Source organism: Homo sapiens, chromosome 10, assembly GCF_000001405.40.
Source record: "Homo sapiens chromosome 10, GRCh38.p14 Primary Assembly".
Taxonomy (NCBI): domain Eukaryota; kingdom Metazoa; phylum Chordata; class Mammalia; order Primates; family Hominidae; genus Homo; species Homo sapiens.
This window is the reverse complement of record NC_000010.11, coordinates 69,336,958-69,361,158: the sequence shown is the minus strand read 5'-3', so window position 1 is coordinate 69,361,158 and position 24,201 is coordinate 69,336,958. Positions and strand designations below refer to the sequence as shown.

Genomic DNA, 24,201 nt, shown 5'->3' with positions numbered 1-24,201 from the left:
CCCAAATCCCAGGGAGCAGGTTAGCCAGGATTAGCCCTTGTCTCTTGGACAAAGAAAAGGCTTGGTGGCTTGCTCCAGGTCCCACCCACAAGAACTTAAGAGCACAGTAGAGTCAAGAGAAGGCTCCTGGGTCTCATCTCGAAGTCCACCCCAGAACCAGAGTTCCCTGGAAATCTTAGTCATGAACCTTGCGGTGAGCACACCCTCCTTAAAGCAAACATTTGGCCAGCTCTGAGTACATATGCTGGACAGCAGCCACAACTCAGGAGGCGAGCCAGACTGGAGGAGCCAGAATGTCTACAGGAGAGAGGAGGAGTGCACCTTGCCCCACGACGGGCTTAGGGACCCAGAAATGACTGAAAACCTGCAGTGGGCTGCCTGAGCCCTGATCACAGGGTCCTCAGTGAGCTACAGACCCACCACTCCCCGCACCCAGAGAGGAGGGGGCAGGTGGACAGGCCCTTCCTAGGCATGCCCACAGCCCCTTGGGCAGGGAGGAAGGGCAGCCCTTCCTGGGGGCCCAGCGTGGGGAGCCCCAACAGGAGTGTAAAAGGAGGGGACCGTGATTTCCCTGCTTCCTCTGCTTTCTGTGCCAAGGGCTTGTGCAATGGTATTCTAAATCAGGTAACAAGAAGCCCCCAAATAGCCCAGAGCTGTGAGACCTCATTCCTGCCCGACAAGGCCACAGCCATACCCTACAAGGCCGGGGCCTCCAGTAAGTGGGTGAGGCCAATGACCAGGAGAAAAGGGCATTTTCACCCAGGGCTCTGCTAAACCTGCACTGGGGAACCGACCCCAGGATCCACAGGGAATGAGTGCATTTACCCAACAGAGCTGCGGAGCCTCCCTCCTCAAACCCAGACTCTGCTAGTCCAAGCAGCCCACTTCCACTACACCAGTTTGCCCAGACGGAGAGCCTCTGTTTAAGCAGGGCCCCCATGCAGGCTGTCACATCCTCTGCCCAGGAGTCCTTTTACATATGCATCTATGAGGGACTCTTTCCAGCAACCCTCTTCCAGGGGCTTGGGATGCCAGTGCTTTGAGGCCTGGTTCCTGGAGGTAACCAAGGGGATGCTGGCCCGACGGGGTGACCCGGAGGGAGCAGGGACCCACCTGGCTTCCACTGCCGTGCACGATGTTCTCTGGGGTGTCATAAACCTCGGACTCCATGTGAACATTCTGGTTTTTCTCATGATTCACTTGCACCCGCAGAATTCGAAAGGAAGACCCACCAAGATCCAGGGCAATGAAATCTCCCTTTTCTGTTTAGGGAGACAACAGGTATCACATGAGATTCAAATGTTAAGGGGAAGCCACATACCATGCCCGCTTCCTGGCAGGGCGTAGGCCCTGTCTGCCTCCCCCTGCCACATGCTGTTATCAGCCAGAAAGCAGCAATCATGCAAACTTCATCCAACCACTGCCATATACGCAGAGTAGGCAAAAGAAACCCTATCCTACCCCAGAGTCCTTAGACAGAAATAGCTTCAAGCAATCCCAGTCTCTTACTTCTGACTATAGGGGAATGGAAGTACTGAATTAAGTACAAATTCCCACCCCATGTTTCTCTAGTTTCTTAACCTATTTCAAAAACAGCACTGCTATGCAGAAATAAAAAATCACACCGCATTTCAACTCAGACAAAGCCCTACATCTGAGGTCCACCCAGTGCCTGCCCTGGGTCTCTGCATGTCAGCTCTGACATCAATTATTCCAGGGTTCTGCTTACTCCTCAGGGTTGTGTTTTATTATTGTGGTAACATACACATAGCATAAAATTTACCACTGCAACCATTTTCAGGCGTACAATTCAGTAGCATTAAGTACATTCACAATGTTGTGCAACCATCACCACTATTTTCAAAACTTTTTCATCACCCCAACACAAACTCTATAACCATTAAGCAATAATTTCCATTTCCCCTCACCCTCAGTCCCCAGCATCCACGATTCTACTCTCTGTCTCTATGAACTTGCCTATTCTGGATATTTCATACAAGAAGAATCACACAGTTATTTGTCCTTTTGTGACCGGCTTATTCCTCTTAGCATAACGTTTTCAAGGTTCATCCATATTTTCAGAATTTTACTCTTTTTTTTTTTAATTAATAGAGACAGGGTCTTGCTCTGTCACCTGGGCTAGAGTACAGTGGTGTGATCAAAGCTCACTGCAGTCTCAAGCTCCTGGGCTCCCAAGATCCTCTCACTTCAGCCTCTCAAGTAACTGGGACTATAGGCAGGTATGAGCCACCCTGCCCCCAATAGAATTTCATCCTTTTTTTTTTTTTTTTTTTTGAGACAGAGCTTCGCTCTTGTTGCCCAGGCTGGAATGCAGAGGCATAATCTCAGCTCACTGCAACCTTGGCCTCCCAGGTTCAAGTGATTCTCCTGCCTCAGCTTCCCGAGTAGCTGGGATTACAGGCATCCGCCAGCATGCCTGGCTAATTTTTTTTATTTTTAGTAGAGACAGGGCTTCACTATGTCGGCCAGGCTGGTCTCAAACTCCTGACCTCAGGTGATCTACCCGCTTTGGCCTCCCAGGGTGCTGGGATTACAGGCGTGAGTCACCGTGCCCAGCCTCATTCCTTTTTAAGACTGAATAATATTCCATTGTATGGATCCACTACATTTTGTTTATCCTTTCATCTGTTGATGGACCCTTGGGTTGTTTCCACCCAGAGGATGCTTTTAACAGAAGTCCCTCTTGGTCACATAAAAGTACCAGTGGCCAAAGTACTGGTCTGCTATGGTTACCTCCCTCGGGAGTGACATGTGCAGCACTGGGGTGGGCCTCAGGGGGCAGAGCAGGACTGTAGGCTGAGACCATCGGACAGCAAAGGCAGGCGGCCATGGGCAAAGTTCCAACCATTAAGCCACAGCCAAACATTCTCTACCCTTCATCTCATTAGTTATCCTCACGATGCTCCCAGAAAAATCAGTTAAGATATGTTTCACTCGTGATGCTAAGGTGACATCCCCACTGTCCTAATATCTACCACGCCAGGGGTGACGGCCACCCCTGCCTTCCACAGCACATGATCCACCAAGCTCTCAATCCTATGGCAGTAAATACTAGACTGCTTTGGGGCATATCATTTTCCTAGGCAGGGAAAGATCTTTATCATTATATCTTATGTAACAGCATTATTGAAATTTAATTCACATACCATATAATTCACCCATTTAAAGTATACAATTCAATGGTTTTTAGTATATTCGGAGTTATGCAACCATCAGCACAGCCAATTTTATAACATTTTCATTATTTCAAAAAGAAACCCTATACCCTTTAACTATCACCTCCCAAGCCCCTCATCCTTCTCCAGCCCTAGGCAACCACTAATCTATTTTCTGTTGCTATAGATTTACCTCTTCTGGACATTTCATATCAATGAAATCATACAGTGGCCAGGTGCGGTGGCTCATGCCTGTAATCCCAGCACTTTGGGAGGCTGAGGCAGGTGGATCGCTTGAGCTCAGGAGTTTGAGACCAACCTGGGCAACATGGCGAGCCCCTGTCTCTACCAAAAACACAAAAAAGATTAGATGGGCATGGTGGTGTGAGCCTGTAATCCCAGCTACTTGGAGACTGAGGTAGGAGAATCTCTTGAGCCCAAGAGACAGAGGTTGCAGTGAGCTGAGATCACGCCACTGCACTCCAGCCTGGGCAACAGAGCGAGGCCCTGTCTCAAAAAAAGAAGAAAAGAAATCATACGGTATATGACCTTGTATGACTGGCTCATTTCACTAAGCAAAATGTTTTTAAGGTTCATCATGTTATAGTGCATATGAGACTTTATCCCTTTTAATGGCTGTTACACTCTATAGATATAACACATTTTATTTATTCATTTGTTACTGACAGACATTTGGTTTGTTTCTACCTTTTGGCTATTATGAATAACACTACTATGAATATTTGTGCCCAAGTTTTTGTGTGGACACGTTTTCATTTATCTTGGGTATATATACCTAGGACAAGAATCGCTGTCAAATAGTAACCCATGTTTAACTTTTCAAGGAATTACCACCATTCTTCAAAGCAGCTGCACCATTTTACATTCCTACCAGTAATGCATGAAGTTTTCAGTTCTCCATGTCTTCATCAACACTTATTACAGTCTGACTTCTTTATCAATTTGCATTTCTCTGATGACTAATGGTGTTGAGTACATTTCTATGTGCTTATTGGCCACTTGGAGAAATGTCTATTCAGATCCTTTGCTCATTTTAAACACTTGGCTTATCTTTTCCTTTTTTTTTTTTTTTTTTTTTTGAGATGGAGTTTCGCTCTGTTGCCCAGCTTGGAGGGCAGTGGCTCAATCTCGACTCACTGCAACCTCTGCTTCCCGGGTTCAAGCAATTCTCCTGCCTCAGCCTCCTCAGTAGCTAGGATTATAGGCGTGCACCACCACGCCTGGCTAATTTTTGTATTTTTAGTAGAGACGGGGTTTCACTATGTTGGCCAGGCTGGTCTCGAACTCCTGACCTTGTGATCCGCCTGCGTCGGCCTCCCAAAGTGTTGGGATCACAGGCGTGAGCCACCGCACCCGGCCTCATTTGTCTTTTATGTGTTGAGTTGTAAAAGTTCTTTTTATGTTCTAGATACAAATCCTTTATCAGACATATGACTGGCAAATATTTTCTCCCATTCAGTGGATTGTCTTTTCTTTTTTTTATGGTATCCTTTGATGCAGTAACATTTTATGTTTGTTGTTGTTGTGTTTGAGACAGGGTCTTGCTCTGTTGCCCAGGCTGGAGTACAATGGTGCAATCATGGCTCACTGCACCCTTGACCTCCTGGACTCAAGAAATCCTCCAGCCTCAGCCTCCCAAGTAGCTGGAACTACAGGCATACGACCACACCTGGCTAATTTTTAATTTTTTTTAGAGACAAGGTCTCACTATGTTGCCCAGGCTGTCTCAAATGCCTTCGCTCAAGTGATCCTCTTGCTTGGCCTCCCAAAGTGCTGGGATTACAGGCATGAGCCACCAAGCATGGCCAAGTTTTAAATTTTGATGAAGTCCAGTTTTACGTTTTTTCTTTTATTGTTTGTGCTTTTGGAGTTGTAGCTAAGACTCTATTGCCAAATCCAAGGTCACAAAGATTCAAACCTGTATTTCGTTCTAAGAGTTTTATTAGTTTTAGCTCCCACATTTAGGTATTTGATCCATTTCAAGTTAATTTTATATATGGTATGAGGTGTAGGTCAAACTTCATTCTTTTGCATGTGGATATCCAGTGTCCCAGCACCATTTGCTGAAAAGACTATTCTTTCCCTCATTGAATAGTCCTAGCATTCTTGTCAAAAGTCAATTGACCGTAATGTATGCATTTATTTTTTTTTTCGAGACAAAGTCTCACTCTGTTACCCAGGCTGGAATGCTACCCAGGCTGGAATGCAGTGGCATGATCTCGGCTCACTGCAACCTCCACCTCCCGGGTTCAGGCAATTCTCATGCCTCAGCCTCCCAAGTAGCTAGGATTACAGGCGTGTGCCACCACAACTGGCTAATTTTTTTGTATTTTTAGTAGAGACGGGGTTTCACCATGTTGGCCACGCTGGTCTCAAACTCCTGACCTCAGGTGATCCACCAGCCTCGGCCTCCCAAAGTGCTAGGATTACAGGCATGAGCCACCACACTCAGCCTGTATGCATTTATTTCTGAACTCTCTATTCTGTTCCATTAGTCTGCATGTCTACCTTCATGCCAGTACCACATGTCTTGATTACTGTTGCTTTGCTGAAAATTTTGAAATTGGCAGTGAAATTCCTTCAGCTTTGTTCTTCTTTTTCATGATTGCTTTGGTTATTCTGGGTCCCTTGAGCTTTTGATTTTCAACACAAAATAAGGTTTGCTTTCTGTTTTTAACAATAAAGCTGACTTATCTTTGTATTTGATTCTACCAAGCTATAAGCCCTGACACACTGCTATATTTCTGGAACTTACAATGGTGTTTGGAATGTAGGTAAAAACTGAGCAAATACTTGTGGAATTAATGAAGGTATAAAGAAATAAACAACAAACCAAGGAATTCTCACATTGAATGTCACTGTTCCTATCTTTTTTTTTTTTTTTTTTTTTTTTGAGAGGGAGTCTTCCTCCATTGCCCAGGCTGGAGTGCAATGGCGTGATCTTGGCTCATTGCAACCTCTGCCTCCCAGGTTCAAGTGATTCTCCTGCCTCAGCCTCCCGAGTACCTAGGATTACAGGTGTCCACCACCATGCTTGGCTAATTTTTGTATTTTGTAGTAGAGATGGGTTTTCACCATGTTGGTCAGGCTGGTCTCAAACTCCTGACCACAGGTGATCCACCTGCCTTGGCCTCCCAAAGTGCTAGGATTACAGGCATGAGCCACTGCGCCCAGCCTGTTCCTATCTTCGTTCTCAAGTTCCTTGAGGGAAAGACCACAACTTGGGATTCTCTGTCCTTGGCACCCAGGACAGCTCAGCAAATGCTCATTAGCTGCCTGGTCACAGGGACTGGTGGTCCATTCATTCATTCAAGGCACCTGATATGGTTAGGCTTTGTGTCCCCACCCAAATCTCATCTTGAGTTGTAACCCCCACAATGCCCACATATCAAGAAAGAGACCAGGTGGAGGTAACTGAATCATGGAGGTGGTTCCCCCCATGCTGTTCTCGTGATAGTGAGTGGGTTCTCATGAGACCTTATGGTTTTATAAGGAGCTCTTCCCCCTTCGCTCAGCACTTCTCCTTCCTGCCGCTTTGTGAGGAAGATGCCTTTTCTCCTTCCACCATGATTGTAAGTTTCCTGAGGCCTCCCCAGCCATGCTGAACTGTGAGTCAACTAAACTTCTTTCCTTTATAAATTACCCAGTCTTAGGCAGTTCTTTTTAACAGTATGAAAACGGACTAATACAGCACCCCTGCTTGCTGTTTATTAAGCACAAAGCAGTTACGCCATCATGTGAGACACACACAGAGGAAAAACCAGAGTATGTTTTTCCTTTTCTCTACTCACCACAACACAGAACACACCTGTGACCCTGGATGCATGTGGGTTTTTCCCCACACACCAAGCAAGTAATTCTGCAGTGAATTCTCCAGTGAACACCAGCTCCATGCTCTCTAATTCAATTCAATTATTTCACTAGCTACCTGGAGATAGCATCATATCCCACAGGTCGAGGGCTCGTTCACACGAGGCTGCCCTCCCTCCAACTTCAGACACCAGTCACAAGCACAGGTTGTGGCCTGTGCTTCTGGCTGATCACTATAAATCGGGGTTCCTACAACCCCCTCCTTGGGTTGCATTAGTTTGCTACGGCAGCTCACAGACCCAGAAAAAACACTTCACTTACATTTACATATTTACTATAAAGGATATTACAATAAATACAGATGAAGAACTGGATGGAAGAGATACACAGGGAGGGGCATGGGAGAAAGGGCAGGAGTTTCCATGCCCCCTCCAGATGTGCCACCCAGGAACCTCCATGTGTTCAGCTAGACAGAAGCTACCAGAACTCAGTCATTCTAGGTTTTCTTCTTTTTGCTTTTTTTTTTTTTTTTTGGTTTTGTTTGTTTGTTCTTTGAGTCAGGGTCACACTCTGTCACCCAGGCTGGAGTGCAGTGCAGTTGCATGATCACAGCTTACTGCAGCCTCAACCTCCAGAGCCCAAGCGATCCTCCCACCTCAACCTCCCGAGTAGCTGGAACTACCGGCACGTGCCACCACATCTGGCTAACTTTTTTTTGTATTTTGTGTAGTGACAGGGTTTTACCATGTTGCCCAAGCTAGTCTCAAACTCTTAGGCTCAAGCGATCCACCCACCTGGGCCTCCCAAAATGCTGGGATTACAGGCGTGAGCCATCATACCTGGCCTGTTTTAGGTTTTTGTGGAAGCACCATTACACAGTTGCGATTGATTAAATCATCGACCATTGGTTTATTCGCTCTATTTTCAGGCTCTCTCCCTCCCTGGAGGCGGCATGGGGGTTGGGGCTGACAGCAACCCTCTGATCACATGGTTGGTTCCCCCTGGCAACCAGCCCCCCATCCTGAGGCTATCCAGGGTCCCACCAAGGAACAAAAGAGACTCTCCTATCACCCAAGAAATTCCAAGGGATTTAGGAGCTCTGAGTCAGGACCAGGATCAAAGATTCTCCTAGCACCTGTATTGCTCAAGAAATTACAAGGGTTTTAGAAGCTAAATGCTAGAGACTAGGGGCAGAGACCAACATGTATATTTCTTATTATTTCACATATTGGTTGGTTGTTTTTTTAATAACAGTTTTATTGAGATATAATAATATAGCATACAATTTTTACCCATTTTAAAGTGAAAAATTCAGTGGTTTTCAGCATATTTACAGAGTTGTGCAACCATCACCACTATCTAATTTTAGAAAATTTTCATCATCCCAAAAGAAATTCCATACCCATTAACAACCATTCACCATTTCCTCCCAACCTCCCTATCTCCCAGCAACCACTAATGTACTTTCTGCTCTACAGATGCCCCTATTCCAGACATTTCATATAAGTGGAATTGTATAATATTAGGTCCTTTGTGTCTGGCTTCTTTCACCCGGCATAAGGTTTTCAAGGCTCATCCATGCTGTAGCGTGGATCAGTACCTCATTCCTTTTTATGAACCGATTATATTCCATTATATGTATATATCACATGAAGCCACTGGTTTTAAATTATTTGTGGTCCAAAGGAAAGAGAGAGAACAAGGGAGAATGCTGGGAAGCAGGTGTCATAGATTTGGTGGAAATTCTGACCCCGACTTTGTGGCATTGTTCAAATCAATATAGAATTTTCTTTGGGCTCCCATTGGAGTCCTAACTCCAACAGTACTTTACACCACCACTAGGTTAAAAAATTGAATTCAGCCGGGCGCAGTGGCTCATGCTTGTAATCCCAGAACTTTGGGAGGCTGAGGCGGGTGGATCACTTGAGGTCAGGAGTTCGAGACCAGCCTGGCCAACATGGAGAAACCCTGTCTCTACTAAAAATACAAAAATTAGCTGGGTGTAGTGGTAGGTGCCTGTAATCCCAGCTACTCAGGAGGCTGAGGCAGGAGAATCGCTTGAACCCAGGAGGCGGAGGTTGTAGTGAGCCGAGATCATGCCACTGCACTCCAGCCTGGGCAACAGAGCAAGACTCTGTCTCAAAAAAAAAAAAAAATTGAAATAACTGAAAAAATTGAATTCAGTATGAAGTAGCTCCTCGCAGGTGAGTCACTAGAATATCAGAAACATTTTATTTGACCATCCATCAGCTAACATTCACTGAGTCTTTCTGTACCAATCACTAAGTGCTTATACGTATCCTTTTATTTTCAATCTTCACAACCCTATGAAGTCAGTACTGTCAGGATGCCCATTCTACAGATGAGCAAGTAAAGGTAAAGAGGGGTTAGATAACTTGCCCAAACGCACAACCAGTAAGTGGCAGAGTCAGCATTTGAATCCGAAGCCATAATGTATAACCATGAAAACTGCCTCCTGGACAGAACTCAGGGACAAGGATCCCCAAGGAAAGTGGGGGCCAGAGAGAGACTTCAGCACATCAGGAATGGCTACACTTCTTTTCTGGGGCTCTTCAACTTCCATGATTCCTTATAGCTTTGGGTTTTTTTGTTTTGTTTTTTTTGTTTTTGTTTTTGTTTTTGAGACGGAGTCTCACTCTTGTTGCCCAGGCTGGACGGCAATGGCGCGATCTCGGCTCACTGCAACCTCCGCCTCCGGGGTTCAAGCGATTCTCTTGCCTCAGCCTCCCCAGTAGCTGGGATTACAGCCACCCACCACCACGCCCAGCTCATTTTTTGTATTTTTAGTAGAGACGAGGTTTCACCACCTTGGCCAGGTTGGTCTCAAACTCCTGACCTCAGATGATCCGACTGCCCTGGCCTCCCAAAGTGCTGGGATTATAGGCGTGAGCCACCGTGCCTGGCCTAGCTTTGGTTTTATTTATTTATTTATTTATTTATTTATTTATTTAATTTTGAGACGGAGTCTCGCTCTGTCGCCCAGGCTGGAGTGCAGTGGCGTGATCTTGGCTCACTGCAAGCTCCACCTCCCAGGTTCACATCATTCTCCTGCCTCAGCCTCCCAAGTAGCTGGGACTACAGGAGCCCGCCACCACGCCCAGCTAATTTTTTTTTTTTTTTTTTTAGTAGAGACGGGGTTTCACTGTGTTAGCCAGGATGGTCTCGATCTCCTGACCTCGTGATCCGCCTGCCTTGGCCTCCCAAAGTGCTGGGATTACAGGCGTGAGCCACGGCGCCCGGCCAGCTTTGGTTTTATTTTGCTTCATTCTCTAATGAAGACAGTGAAAGCTCAGTCTGATAAACAACTATAAACCACTTGTGCATAGGGGGAAAAGGGGCACAAAAGCAAATACTACACTGAGATGAAATGATCGGTACTTTTTATTTTAATATTTTACTTAATTAATTTGCTGTTTTAATGTTCACCTAAACATTTATTTATTTCATGTTTTTGTTTGTTTGTTTTTTTGAGATGGAGTCTCACACTGTTGCCCGGGCTGGAGTGCAATGGCGCAATCTTGGTTCACTGCAACCTCCAACTCCCGGGTTCAAGCAATTCTCCTGCCTCAGCCTCCCGAGTAGCTGGGTCTACAGGCATGCACCACCACGCCCAACTAATTTTTGTATTTTTTAGTAGAGACGGAGTTTCACCATTTTGGCCAGGATGGTCTCGATCTCTTGACCTTGTGATCCGCCCACCTCGGCCTCCCAAAGTGCTGGTCCTATACGCTGCCGGGCAAAAGACACTGAGGAATGATGTCTGTTAAGGACAACAAGATAACTGATAAACTTTCCTGGATGTCCAGCATCTCTTTAGATAACTACCCTCCCATTTTTCACCTATGAGGTTGGAAGTGGGGCTGAATCCCCACTCCAGCTCCAGGGGTACCAATGCGTAATCCAGGCATGGGATCCAGGGGCATCCCAAGTCACCCATCTTGTCCATCGTGATTGGTTCAGGATGGGCACATAACCCAAGTAAGCCAATCACAGCCCTCTCCAAGACCATCACAGGTCCATGGGGAGCAAGGCCTGCTCTTTGCACAGAGATCGCTGGCTATAAGGGGAGGGGTCAGCCTAGGGCTGCAGGGGCCGTCCCTGCCACTGTAAGAGGAGAGATGGCCTATGAATGAAGCCAACACACAGGAAAGGAGCTGACTGAACTAGTAAGAGACAGATGAATCCCTAGATACAGAAGTCAACTCACAGCGAGACTTCCCAGTTATAGGAAACTAGAATTCTCTTTTTTTCTTAAACAAATTTGAGTCAGATTTCCTTCAGCTACAACCAGAAGGTTTCCAGGTTAGTTCAATATTCTTTGTCAGGAAATGAATCCCCCAAATACCCACTTGCCCTCCATAACAAAAGGGACCTATCAGTCCCTTTTACCTCGGGTTGGCTCCCTGATTCAGAGCTGTCGTGTCCAGTCACCCCCTTGCAGAGGTACTGGAGCTGTAGCCTGTGGTCTCACCCACATTTTATGTGGCTAGCTCAGGGGTTGGGGGTGAGACAGCCTGCCTTGGCTTGCCCCTTTTCTCTGCCTCCTTCCCCTGTAACATCACAGAGATGCCAGCGAATCCTGAAAAACTCTGCATCCTTCCTGCAGGGGCTCGGCTTACACATTCAGGCCTGCTGGGTGCGGTCCTTGGACTGGCTCCATTGGTTAGGAAAGACTTTCCCAAGGAATTCTTCCAAAGCCAGTTATTATATCATAAGACTGATGAGGATGACGATGACGCACCATAACTCACGGTGGTTTGCAGTTTCCAAAGACTCTCATTTGATCCTGATGATAGCCTGGTGAGGCAGGTGGGGCAGGGATTACCATGGCCATTTTACCCATGAGGAAATGGAGGCTCAGAAGTTAAGTGGCTTCTCCAAGGTCACACAGGTTGGGAGTGGCAAACCCAGAGACCGATTCAGTGTTCTAGATTTTTATTTCCTTTTCTCTTTGGCTACAAGCTCAGCCTCTTTCTGCAGTAATAGGTTTCCTCCCAACTTCCTCTTTCAATCTTTGGTCTCAAACCTTGCTTCCTGCTACTGGGGCCTCCTGCCTGTGACCTTTCCTCACATTTCTCATTTCCACTGAAGCTGGGAGAACCGCTCAAGAGAAAGCTCATTAAACAACACATCCGAAGGGCTACTGGCAATTCTCCACTTTCTAATGACAGCCATTATTACCAGCAAATAATGGAAAACAAACACAGGACAGATGTGTCTCGAGTACCAGCCTGTGCTGGAATACAGGGCAAGCAAAAACTCTGCCTGCGGGAAATGCCTGCCTGAGTCCAGCTCAATGAATTGATTCTTCTTTTTTTTTTTTTTGAGACAGAGTTTCTGTTGCCCAGGCTGGAGTGCAGTGGCGTGATCTCAGCTCACTGCAACTCTGCCTCCCAGGTTCAAGTGATTCTCGTGCCTCAGCCTCCCAGGTAGCTGGGATTACAGGCACCGGCCACCATGCCCAGCTAATTTTTGTATTTTTAGTAGAGACGGGGTTTCGCCATATTGGCTAGGCCGGTCTCCAACTCCTGACCTCAGGTGATCCGCCTGCCTCGGCCTCCCAAAGTGCTGGGATTACAGGCATGAGCCACCGTGCCCAGCCTCAATGAATTAATTCTGTACATGAGATACACAGGCATTCCTGCCCATCTACAATCCAGCTGCATGATGGGAACTCCACGCCTTCAACTCAGGAGGTTTCACAGATAGAGAGAATACTTGAGATAACCCAACTATCCTTCCATATAAGAAAACTGAGACCACCCAAATGCTGCAAGAAGAGAAGGTAAATATTTTCCTTCCGTTGACTGGAAAACAGTAGTATGAATATTTAGGGCCCCAAAACAACCGTGACTACACTGTAAATGGCTCTGCTTTGCATGAAAAAAGATAATGGCACATCCAAGCTTCTAGAAAATTTTTTTTTTTACTTCTCCTTTGGGTAAAAACTTCTCTTTTGGGTAAAGGCTGTGTAGGAACAATGAAGCCGAAACCAAGAAGTATCGATTCCTATTTAGCCTCCAAAAGCTTACACTCTAATTAGTGCTTACAATATCCTTAGGGATAAATGAGAAAAGGAGAAAAAAGGGACACTTCGCGAATGGGGGAGGCTGGGCACAGAGGGACAGCAATTCCCAAGAGACTGGGTAGTGAGGGAAACCCAAAATACTTCACCCCAAAATATGGCTCCCTGGTATAATGAGTATTTTGAACTAAAGGCCCTTAAAGATCAACAGATGCTGGAAAATGCTTTTCTCCTATCTGCATAAAGACCACGCAGACCCTCCAAGGAGAACTTTATCCTTACCCTCCCTGTTATCTCATTATCTATTGCAGAAAAGAAGACTGAAGAATCTGACCACACCTGAATGGACCTTTTTAAAGATGTCTGTTCCTAAACCGGGCGTGGTGGCTCACACCTGTAATCCCAGCACTTTGAGGGGCCAAGGCGGGCAGATCACAAGGTCAGGAGTTCGAGACCAGTCTGGCCAACATGGTGAAACCTCGTCTCTACTAAAAATACAAAAATTAGCCCAGCGTGGTGGTGCGCACTTGTAATCCCAGCTACTCAGGAAGTTGAAGCCGGAGAATTGCTTGAACCCGGGAGGCGGAGGTTGCAGTGAGCCGAGATCATGCCACTGCACTGCAACCTGGGCGACAGAGCGAGACTGTCTTAAAAAAAAAAAAAAAATCTGTCTCCTATTCAATTTCCAAAGAGAACCGGTACTGGTTAATCTCTGTTCCCTGATATCTTCATTCTCCCTAGTAATCATTTACTGTTCCCTGTCTCCTGCCTCCCCTCTGAAAAGAGGAAATGTGTGGCCGGGCGCAGTAGCTCACACTTGTAATCCCAGCACTTTGGGAGGCCGAGGCGGGTGGATCACCTGAGGTCAGGAGTTCGAGACCAGCTTGGCCAACATGGCAAAACCCCGTCTCTACTAAAAATACAAAAATTAGCTGGGCATGGTGGCAGGTGCCTATAATCCCAGCTACGTAGGGGGTGCTAAGGCAGGAGGATCGCTTGAACCATCGTGCCACTGCACTCCAGCCTGGGCAACAGAGCAAGACTCCATCTCAAAAAAAAAAAGGAAAAGAAAAGAGGAAATGTAAGTATCTGGGCCCCACCGGGATACTTGAGTAATCAGTCTGTGATTCTCCCACATGCATGTTAATAAATGTGTATGCCCTTTCTCCTATTAATCTGCCTTTTGTGAGCTGATTTTTCAGCCAACATTCAGAGGGCAAAGGGGACGTTTTCCCTTGCTCCCTACAGTAGCTTTGAAGAGGGAATTCTATTTAGCCAAATCACCAATGTTAAGAGGCTTCAATATTTTCCTTCTTTATTATTCATTCATCCACTACCTCAAAAATGATATGCAGCAGCAAAAAGCCACTTTAGGTTTTTGGGGTTTTTTTAATGATATACAGATTATTGAAGAACAACTAAAAAATAAAAATAAAAACAGGCCAGGTGAGGTGGCTCACGCCTGTAATCCCAGCACTTTGGGAGGTGGGAGGATCGCCTGAGCCTAGGAGTTCAAGACCAGTCTGGGCAACATGGCAAAACCCTATCTCTACAAAATACCAAAAACAAAAACCTCACTGCCCATTAAAAAAAAAATGACCAAAAAAGAAAGAAACTAATTAAAAATGGGCTGATAGGTATCAGAATGTATGTATCAGATATGTTTTCAGAAATGCTTCTGGAAAGTCAGTTGAGTTCCAAAACTCTGTGTCTAGTCGACCAGGGTCAAGGTCAGCAAGAAAGGAAAGGCTTGTTTCCTTCCTTTGCCTTGGAAATCACATCACCACTTAGGCATTGCTCCACCATGGTGAGCGCCAATTTATCCCTCCGTGGTTTGGGATTACCACTAATTCTGTCACTAATTACTACAGTTGAAGCAGTGATTAACATTTCAAAAAGGGAACAGCACTATGGATTTACTATTAAGAGACCCAGATTCTGATTACTGCAGGGATCTCCTGATTCTTGGATGATAAAGGAGCCAAGAGGCAGGGGGAGGTGAAGACAGAAGCCCGGCACAACACGAAGGGGCAGGAAGTGGACTGGGGGTTGGGTATCCAAGTCCTTAGCATCAACAGCAATGTCTTTGCGGGGCTGTAGGGACCATTGCAAGCGAAGTGTGGGCTCTGGGGCACATGAACTGAACCCACCCATAAATATTTGGAATGGGGGGGTGCCGTTTCTATGAATCTCTAAAAGGGGGTGAAAAATACATTTCACAAATGAGTATGAGTTCTAAGCCTTGTTTGGAGGAGTAGCCAATATGGCAAATGGCTGGATTTCTACTGCACTTGGATCACACCTTGAGACTCTCAATCCTGGAAACAGTTTGTGAAGGAGAGGGAGAGCACCCCTGCTGACATAGGTCCCTGGGACACAGCTGGCTTGAGAGCAGGGCCCAGTGGGTAGGAGGCAAAGTGTCTCCTCCCCTGTGTCTGCCCTGAGCCAGTCACACAGGGCCAGGTGCCTCGCAGGGATCAGGTAGCCTTCTGAGCTCTCCCAAGCAAAGCCAAAGCAGGTGCTCTCCTGGGTGCTGCCCATACCCCCTCCCCTCCCCGCTCCTTCCTCTTCTCTCAGCTGGAAGCAGTCAGAGCCATGCCTCTGCTACATAGCTCTCCTCATCCTGGAAAGGTTCCAGTGCTCCTGGCTGTAGGTGACATCCATGGCTGGGAAAAAGCAAGAGTGAACTATATATAAAGTTCTTTCTTCTCCAGCCAGAGACAAGCGAACACACCCAGGGTAGACCACAGTCTATTCACTCTGATGGCCAGAATCTCTTCAGTAGTTCTTAAAAAGCTAGAAGTAGGTGCTAGTAATCAACACCTAAACAAAAGGGTGGAGGTGGAGTAGGCTTACATCAGAGATATACATGCTAATATGTGAGCATGAAGTAGACCCCACCCGTGGCCACAGTGAACAGCACAAGGCCTCTTTATCAGCGTCCAAATCTCATTCAGGATGACTGCAGGCAGAGAGCAGAGGTCTTTTCCTGCTGCAACCAGCCTACTCCCACTTGCCCATCTTTCAAGAACATCAGTTGCAACAGCTGCAGTTTCCTGGCGTCCATTTTGCAGGCTGCATACAAGATGCCCCAAATCACTCCTTTAAATAAGAGCCTCGAGAGCAGGGAAGAAATCGCAGGGGTGTGTGAAAGCTGTACTCACTGGTCGTGTACTCACAACCCCAAGGGAAACCTGACTTCCTCCTGCTCTCCCTCCCTCTGCTGCCTACAGCAGGTGAGCCCCACCCTAGAGCACAGAACACAGCTAACAGGGGATTCCTGTGAGGGCGCCACGCTGGAGCAAGCACAGCATTCACCTCCACAAACTAGTAACTGCGGGTCTGCCGGGAAGAACAGCTTCCACTGAGCAGGCCAGACTGCGACTTCTCAGTCTCCGCTCAGCCAGGTGCAGGGGCTGATACCACTCCTCTGGGGAGGAGAAACAGACAATCCTCAGGGGGCCCTCCCCCAACGCCCCACTGCAGGGTATGAGCCACAGGATGCAGAGTGAAAGGATACAATTTTTCTTTCAATTCTACCTCCCCTCTGTATTTCTTTGTTTTGGGGGCTGCCTCAATTCTGCATCTGTGAAATCTGTCCAAAGGGGGTCTGGAATCTCTGCCTTTAAGTCTGAGACCCACCTGTCCATTAGGATTGCTATTATCTGGGATAAGAAGAGAGGGAAGCTTTGATTCCCTGATGGAGAGATTTCCCTAAAATGAACCCTTCATTTGTTCTGGAGTTCTTCATGTTCTGAAGACATAAGAGCAACCCACACAGTATCTGCGAGACCCATAAACACTACACTTTCTAAAGTATCACAAGCCACTAGACAGTAAAGTCAATGACAGCAGGTCAGCCTTGCCCAACCATGGTATCCCCAGTGACTGGCATAAGGTCTCAGTAGACACATATTGGATGGATGGATCAGCGGATGGATGGATGGATGGATGGATCAGCAGATGGATCAGCGGATGGATGGATGGATGGATGGGAGAGCAGATTGATGGAATGGTGAATGAATGAATGAGCAAATGTATGAACAAATGAAGTTAGAAGGAAGATTTCACAGAACATTTAGCCCTCAGGGTTCAATCTCTGGGTGACAGACTTACCAGAGCCATCAGGAATGGACCTTACGAATGTTGGCAACATCTTGACTGTGGCTGTTGGATTAAAATCCCGGGAGAGGCCATTCTTCATCTCCTTCCTGAAGCGAGTCATGATATCTATGAGAGTTTCATCGGAGAGCCGCATGGCATAGAGATACTTGTCAATCTGGAGGGGGATGAGAAGGAAGGAGAGTGAGGTCGAGGGGGAGGACAGGGCAAGGTGAGGCACCCACCCGCTGAGATAGCCAGCTCCCACAGGCACAGGAACACGCACGCTGGCACATCGCATGGCGGAAGGTCATTCAACTGCTGTCATCCATGTCACCCAGAACAGGCTTGCAAATGCTCTGAGCCCTAGTTCCTGGCCTGTAAAATGAACCCGATATCTCTAAGATCCTTTCCAACCCTCAAATATGACATGGAAGCTGCTCTTCAACCCCCAAGTACTTGATGGAGGTAGGTTTCCTCCAGTATCAGGAACACCTCAAGCCTCCTTCTCTCTCTGAGAATTGGCTGGCTCACTCTCACTGGGATGGGAATGACAGAGAGGCTACGAACAAGGGCTCTGGAGCCAGCCAACTGGGTTCAATCCTAGCCCCAGAGCTTAACAGCTGTGTGAATTTCAGTTTCCTCAACTGAAAAACTGAGATGATAGATAGGACCTAACATATAGGACAAGTTCAAATGAGACACAAGCACTTAGAACACAGTAACTGCTCAATAAACATCAGCTATTATTATTAACATGAGACAGTAGTACTGGCAGGTGTCCATGGGCAAGACTTCTAGAAAGACAGAAATGGCGGCCAAAGGGCTAGGACCCTTCTGAGAACACAGGGTGGCAGGCCCAGAGCACAGAAACCTTAAACCCAGCCTCAATGAATGGAGACAGCCCCTGGGCTCCCATACCCATGTGCCGGGCCTGTGTGCCAGGCCATGGGCCCTGCACCTCCGAGTCAAACTACTCCCACCCTTCACCAGGCCTGACCCAACCTGCTCCTCTTCCTGAGTTCCCCGTTCTCCTCAAGCTGCCCAGGCTCCTAACCTTAGGCACCCTGGGTTGTCACTGGCTATCACTAATTGTTTGTCCTTCATGGCATCTTCGCATTTATTCTCCCAAAAAAGGATTCACTGGGCACCAGCTAGGTGCCTAGAATTGAGCTAGACACCTGTCCTGATGGCACTATCCCTGTAGAGTCCACCGAGGAAGGTTCTTTTGTTTCACCATCCACTCTTTCTGCTGCTCTGTGTGCCTGGATTGCTGATGATCCACTGTAACAGTTTATCTTCAATCTCTTCCTTCCAACCCATCTTCTACACCACTGCAGCATCAGCCTCTTAAAGTGCAACCCTAATCAAGTCATGCCTCTGCCCAAAGCCTTGCAATGCCTCCCCACTGCCAAGGCACCTACCCTCTGCAGGTGTGGCTCTGTGCTCTCTGAACTCCGGCCAAACCACCTCTACCATTCCTAGTAGGTGCTCCAGGCTCTCCTCCTTCTGCTGTCACCTCTACCTGAAATGCCCTTCCTTTTCTTCCCAGCTCACCTAACCTTCAAGGTTCAAATCAACTGTCACTTCCTCCTGAAGATGTCCAAGTCCTTCAGGCTGGATATCACCACTCCTTCAGCACTGACCCCTAGGCAGGGTCTGGTCTGGATCCCAGCTTTCCATGCGTGTCACCCTGACCTCCCCAGTGCCTCACATGGAGCCTTGCACACAGAAGGCTCCCACTGGATAGAGAGACAGATTTACAGCCCCACAAGGCTGAAAAGACCTTAACACTGGTGTTTTTTCCTTTGTTTGTTTGTTTGTTTGTTTGTTTGTTTGTTTTTGGGGTTGGTTTTTTTTTCATAGTCTATCTCTGTCACCCAGGCTGGAATGCAGTGGCAGAATCTTGGCTCACTGCAACCTCCACCTCCCAGGTTCAAGCAATTCTCCTGCCTCAGCCTCCTGAGTGGCTGGGATTACAGGCGTGCGCCACCACGCCCTGCTAATTTTTGTATTTTTAGTAGAGACAGGGTTTCACCATGTTGGCCAGGCTGGTCTCAAACTCCTGACCTCAAGTGATCCACCCACCTAGGCCTCCCAAAATGTCTGCCAACACTCTCTGCGCCCAAGGATGATCCTTGCCCCCACTCCTAACCACTAGCCCTACCACCTTTTTCCCTTTACAATAAAGCAGCTCAAAGAAGGGCAATCAGGAACCACCAAGAGCCAGAATAGAAATTGCCAGAAGAGGCCAGGCATGGTGGCTGACACCTGTAATTCTAGAACTTTGCAAGGCCAAGGCAGCAGGATCATTTGAGCCCAGGAGTTCGAGATTAGCCTGGGCAACAACCCTGTCTCTACAAAAAATAAAAATTAGCCCAGCATGGTGATGCACACCTGTAGTCTCAGCTACTCGGGAGGCTGAGGCAAGAGGATCACTTGGGCCCAAGAGGTTGAGGCTGCATTGAGCCATGATTGAACCACTGTACTCCAGCCTAAGTGACAGAGTGAGACTGTCTCTAAAAAAAAAAAAAATTAACAATTGGCCAGGAGCAGTGGCCCACACCTGTAATCCCAACACTTTGGGAGGCTAAGGCAGGCAGATTGCTTGGGGCCAGGAGTTCGAGAGCAGCCTGGGAAACTTGGCAAAACCTCGTCTCTAAAAAAATACAAAAATTAGCCAGGCGTGGTGATACGCCCCTGTAGTCCCAGCTACTCGGGAGACTGAGGCGGGAGGATTGCCTGAGCTGGGGAAGCAGAGGTTGCAGGGTGCTATGATCCTGCCACTGTACCCCAGCCTGGGTGACAGACTTAGATCCAGTCTCCAAAAAAAAAAGAAAGAAAGAAATATGTATATATATTTTTTAAAGGAAATAAAATTGCCAAAAACATGGCCCTGGGAGGAGAGACAAGCCATGCCCTATTCTGGCTGGTGGCATTCATCAGCAGCCCTTGCCATCATAGTGCCCTGGGTCTGCAGGGAGAGACAGCCACGTTGCAAGCATGGGAGAGAAGGCTTCCTGGAGAGGCGAAGTTGGAGAGCATGCCCAGGCACAAGCAAGGGCATGTGTGAAGTCCGAAGGGGAGGGAGGGTGGTTTTTGTGATGAACAAGCAGACGGTGTGCCTGGAAAGACTGTCCAGAGCTCAACCACACAGGGCCTGATGAGCCACATAAACAAATACAAGCGGGATCCCACAGCACAGCGAGCCTTGGGACGGCTTTACTGATTACAACCATGATGAGAGTTGTGTGTCTGCTGCGTGGAGAATGGAGGAGCAAGCGCAAGATCATACAATAAAAGCTACATTGCTAGCTGGCACAGTGGCTCATGCCTGTAATCCTGGCACTTTGGGAGGCCGAGGCAGGAGGATTGCTTAGGCCCAAAAGTTCAAGACCAGCCTGAGCAACATAGTGATATCGCACCTCTAAAATATTTTTTAATTTTAATTTTAAGGCCGGGAGCAATGGCTCATGCCTGTAACCCCAGAACTTTGAGAGGCCGAGGCGAGTGGATTACCTGAGGTCAGGAGTTCAAGACCAGCCTGGCCAACATGGTAAAACCCGGTCTCTACTAAAAATACAAAAATTAGCTGGGCATGGTGGTGCATGCCTGTAATCCCAGCTACTCAGGAGACTGAGATATGAGAATCGCGTGAACCCAGGAGGTAGAGAAGATTGCAGTCAGCCAAGATCGCGCCATCGCACTCCAGCCTGGGCAATGCAGCAAGACTCCATCTCAAAAAATTTTTTTTAATTTTAATTTTAAAAAAGGTACATTGCTACTCCAGCATTTTGGACACGCCCCAACGACCACACTCCTCACACATCATGATTATCCTTTTACCAAGCTGTCCATCTCCTATGATACTGCGTGAGTTCCCCAGGGAAAGAAAACATATTGAATAGACCTTTGGAACTCACCCAGTTGCTTGACACAAAGGAGGAATTCAAACAATGCTGGATCCTGGAATAATACTATATAATTCTCTTGTGGCTTACAGTATATCAGTATATCAAGATCCAGTATGTCATTTAACCTTCAAAACTGTCTGGGAGATGTTCTTAATCCCCATTTTACAGACACAGAAACTGATGGTCCAAGAAGCTAAGTGATTAGTTCAAAGCACACAGCTGGGGGAGTGAGGTTTTATACCTGCAAGTCTAAGGCTCCTCCATACAATCATCCCTGCCCCTTAAGAAAGACTGGTCCCCTGCTCTGCAGAAGGCAGATCCAAGTAGAGCTGTTGGGGTTTTCCCGCTGGACAGGAGAAGCTTCTAGAAAAGGCAGCTCTCCATAACTCCACAGCTATCCTGCCTTCTAAGTCAAGGTGCAGCTCAGCACACAGACATTGATCCAAAAACCCCAACGTTTCAGGACAACCAAGCTAAATCCAAATAAAGCTTAGAAGCTCAAATCAAAAAGCAGGCTGCAGACACAGAGAACGGCCTGGTCCTCAAGCTGCTATGGAGGGAGGGTTTTCCTCCTTTTGTTCAGGTTCATGAGTCGTCATGAGGTACAACCCCTCTCAGAAGAGACATGAATACTGGGGCCAAAAGGGAGGCCCAATTGAGGCAAGGCCGGAACTGAAACTGGGGCCTCCTGGATTTTACATGAATGAGGACAATGAAGGGAAGCCCTTTCTTTCCACTGGTCCTCGGGAGATCAGAAGGGGCCACTGAACCAGCAAATACCCTAGGCCTGGGGCTGGGCTGCCAGGGGAGAAGTCAGCTCCCTGGTATCTGCCACACTGCCCAGCCAGGCAGGCACCTGGTGCAGGACTCAGCAGACATGCCCCTCTGGACTGTGGGCCTTTAAGTGGCCCGGAGGCACTGGAGAAAAGCACATGACTAGAGACACCTGCAGAAAACTTCCAGGGGCCCAGAGAACCCAGCACTTCACTGAGCAAAACGCATCTTCCTCGTTCAGACCAGCCCCTCCTGGCACTCCACTGGACCACGCCTGTCTCCCTGGGAAAGAGGCTGGGAATGGGCAGTGGGTTGAAGGAGAGAGGGAGGAAGAAAGGGCATTGGAGAAATCTCTCCTGCCCAGTTGCTCCAGATCTCTGCCAGAAACCCAGGAAGAAAGGCTGACTCTTGGTCTTTGGGGATTTGGCCAAAGTCTGGCCTTTCAACTTTTCTATTTCTGTCCTCCTCTCCACAGCATCTCCAGATCTTTACTCTCCTCCTTCCTTTTCCCCTCTTCCCTCTCTCTCTACACACACACACTCTCACATACACAATCTCTCACACACACACACTCTCACACACTCACACATACACACACAAGTACTTACACACACACACACACACACACACACACACTCACATCTCCATAATCCTGTCCCCTTCTCTTAGGTGCTGCCTCCACATCACCGCTGCTTTACTGCTCCAGCCAAACATCAGTGCCCGAAGAATCCCTCCCCACACTCCATTTGGGAGTTGGGGAGGACACCGCACAGCACCACTTCCAGCTGCTTCCACTGCAAGCCTCGGTCTGTGGACCATCTATCAGAAGACAGAGGTTCCCAGGAGTCATGACAGAAACCCAGGCCCTCAAATGCTCCCTCTCAAACCAGTGTCTGAGACGAATATGTGGGACTCTGGTCAGTCTGGTCAGGCTGGGATGGAAATGGGAAGGCGCCCAGTCCCAGACACCAGACATCAGACACCGAGCTGGGTCCCTCAGACTCTTGCCTGAGAACCCGCATCCAGCCTCCAGGGCCTCTGTCCACCGCTGCCCAGAGTGAAGAGCCCTTCCTATGAGGGTAGCCAGACCGGCTGCACAGGGCGGGCGCTCTTGCTCAAACACTTTCCAGACACTTGTCCTGGATTCTCCTTCTTGTGGACCAAGGGGGCCTTGAAGCTCTCAGCGGCTCCCAAAGTTGGACCCCCGCAGAGCAGGAGGACATGTCATCAGCAGAGAACACACAGCCTCGCCAAGCTTCCCTGGCTCAGAGCCCTCCAACCAAGGAAAGAACTCAATGGCCTAGCACTGCAATCAACTCACAAACATTTCTGTGCCCGACCCCAGCCCCACCTCCTGCTCCCAACAGAACATGCACAAAAAACAAACGCAAGATTGGACATGCCCAAGTGAACAGGCCGGTCGCAGCAGGAGGCACCAGTAACCACTGGTAACCATCCCAGCCATTTTCACCCCACCCCGTGGAAGGGTGCACAGCCATGGAAAATTTCACTCCCTCTCTCATCCACCCTCCCGTGAGGATCGAGAATGCTGCAGAACAGCAGGCGTGACTGAAGCTGCTGACGCAGGCCTTTAAAATGAACTTTCCAAGCAAGGCGCTCCACTTACAAAAGGAAATTGTGGCGTGCACCCTGAAGGGTTAAGAAAGATGTTAGCTTAGGGGAGGACAGAGATTTCAACATCAGAATTCACTTCCCTTTGCTAAGGACACTGACTCAGAGAGAACGGGTCCTGGGTGCTTATTAACATCACAATTAGCAATGGCTCACATGTGCACTGGCCCTTCAGATACAGGACCTTCACATACATTATCCCATTTGAACTGTGTAGAAAGAAGTGAAATGAGCTTGTGGATGCCAAGTGCCACGCAGGAAGCAGGTGCTTTAATGCTAGTTCCCTTTCTCCTGTCACTGCAGCCCAGTGAAGTAGGCAGGAAAGACATCATTATCTCCATTATCTAGGAGAGGAAACAGACCCATGATTCAAGCTAAGTTGGGGAGTTTAGAAATGGCAGCTGGGTCTAGATTCCAGGGCTCGTAACCTCCCATTTGGGGCTTCACCTTAAGCATTTCCATTTTCCTCACATGGTGGAAAGTACACAGGGCTGTGGACAGAGAGCTGGGTTCAAATCCGATTTATTAGCTGTGTGACTTTGGACAAGTTACTTAATCTCTCTGAGTCTCACTTTTAAGATGGAGATAATAAATCCTCCACTTCAGAGGGTTATGGGGAGGATTTTAATGTGCAGAAACAAAGTAAGCATCAAGTGTCATTTCCCTCCCTCCCATCCCTAAGTGACATAATCATGTACCCCTAACTCCTTTCATCTCAATGCCTGAA

At 47.7% G+C, this 24,201-nt stretch overlaps 1 protein-coding gene across 30 annotated transcripts in view, besides 5 other annotated features; it reads right to left on the bottom strand.

Annotated features, from left to right (window-relative positions):
- Positions 1-24,201, bottom strand: part of HK1 (hexokinase 1) — a 131,883-nt gene that overhangs the window by 40,724 nt on the left and 66,958 nt on the right. For 27 of the 30 annotated variants that reach the window (NR_199805.1, NR_199804.1, XM_047425137.1 and 24 more), the window contains 2 exons: positions 17,170-17,332; positions 1,114-1,262 (listed from right to left, as the gene is read on the bottom strand). Coding sequence is in view for 25 of the 30 variants with exons in the window: in XM_047425137.1 (XP_047281093.1) it covers positions 1,114-1,262; positions 17,170-17,332 (312 nt within the window). In the remaining 5 variants the exon portion in view is untranslated. The remainder of the gene's footprint in view (positions 1-1,113; positions 1,263-17,169; positions 17,333-24,201) is intronic. The other 3 variants (NM_001441151.1, NM_001441147.1, NM_001441149.1) reach the window with 3 other exon arrangements.
- Positions 16,155-16,284: a silencer, noted in NCBI's record as "silent region_2431". NCBI's record gives its function as "represses an Ori minimal core promoter by ATAC-STARR-seq in GM12878 lymphoblastoid cells {active_cell/tissue: GM12878}" and the evidence as "EXISTENCE:reporter gene assay evidence [ECO:0000049][PMID:35858748]".
- Positions 16,889-17,742: an enhancer, noted in NCBI's record as "H3K27ac-H3K4me1 hESC enhancer chr10:71103173-71104026 (GRCh37/hg19 assembly coordinates)". NCBI's record gives its function as "activates a minimal SCP1, AML or CMV promoter by ChIP-STARR-seq in primed H9 embryonic stem cells {active_cell/tissue: H9 hESC(primed)}" and the evidence as "EXISTENCE:reporter gene assay evidence [ECO:0000049][PMID:30033119]".
- Positions 21,331-22,016: an enhancer, noted in NCBI's record as "H3K27ac-H3K4me1 hESC enhancer chr10:71098899-71099584 (GRCh37/hg19 assembly coordinates)". NCBI's record gives its function as "activates a minimal SCP1, AML or CMV promoter by ChIP-STARR-seq in naive and primed H9 embryonic stem cells {active_cell/tissue: H9 hESC(naive and primed)}" and the evidence as "EXISTENCE:reporter gene assay evidence [ECO:0000049][PMID:30033119]".
- Positions 22,705-23,390: an enhancer, noted in NCBI's record as "H3K27ac-H3K4me1 hESC enhancer chr10:71097525-71098210 (GRCh37/hg19 assembly coordinates)". NCBI's record gives its function as "activates a minimal SCP1, AML or CMV promoter by ChIP-STARR-seq in naive H9 embryonic stem cells {active_cell/tissue: H9 hESC(naive)}" and the evidence as "EXISTENCE:reporter gene assay evidence [ECO:0000049][PMID:30033119]".
- Positions 23,391-24,078: an enhancer, noted in NCBI's record as "H3K27ac-H3K4me1 hESC enhancer chr10:71096837-71097524 (GRCh37/hg19 assembly coordinates)". NCBI's record gives its function as "activates a minimal SCP1, AML or CMV promoter by ChIP-STARR-seq in naive H9 embryonic stem cells {active_cell/tissue: H9 hESC(naive)}" and the evidence as "EXISTENCE:reporter gene assay evidence [ECO:0000049][PMID:30033119]".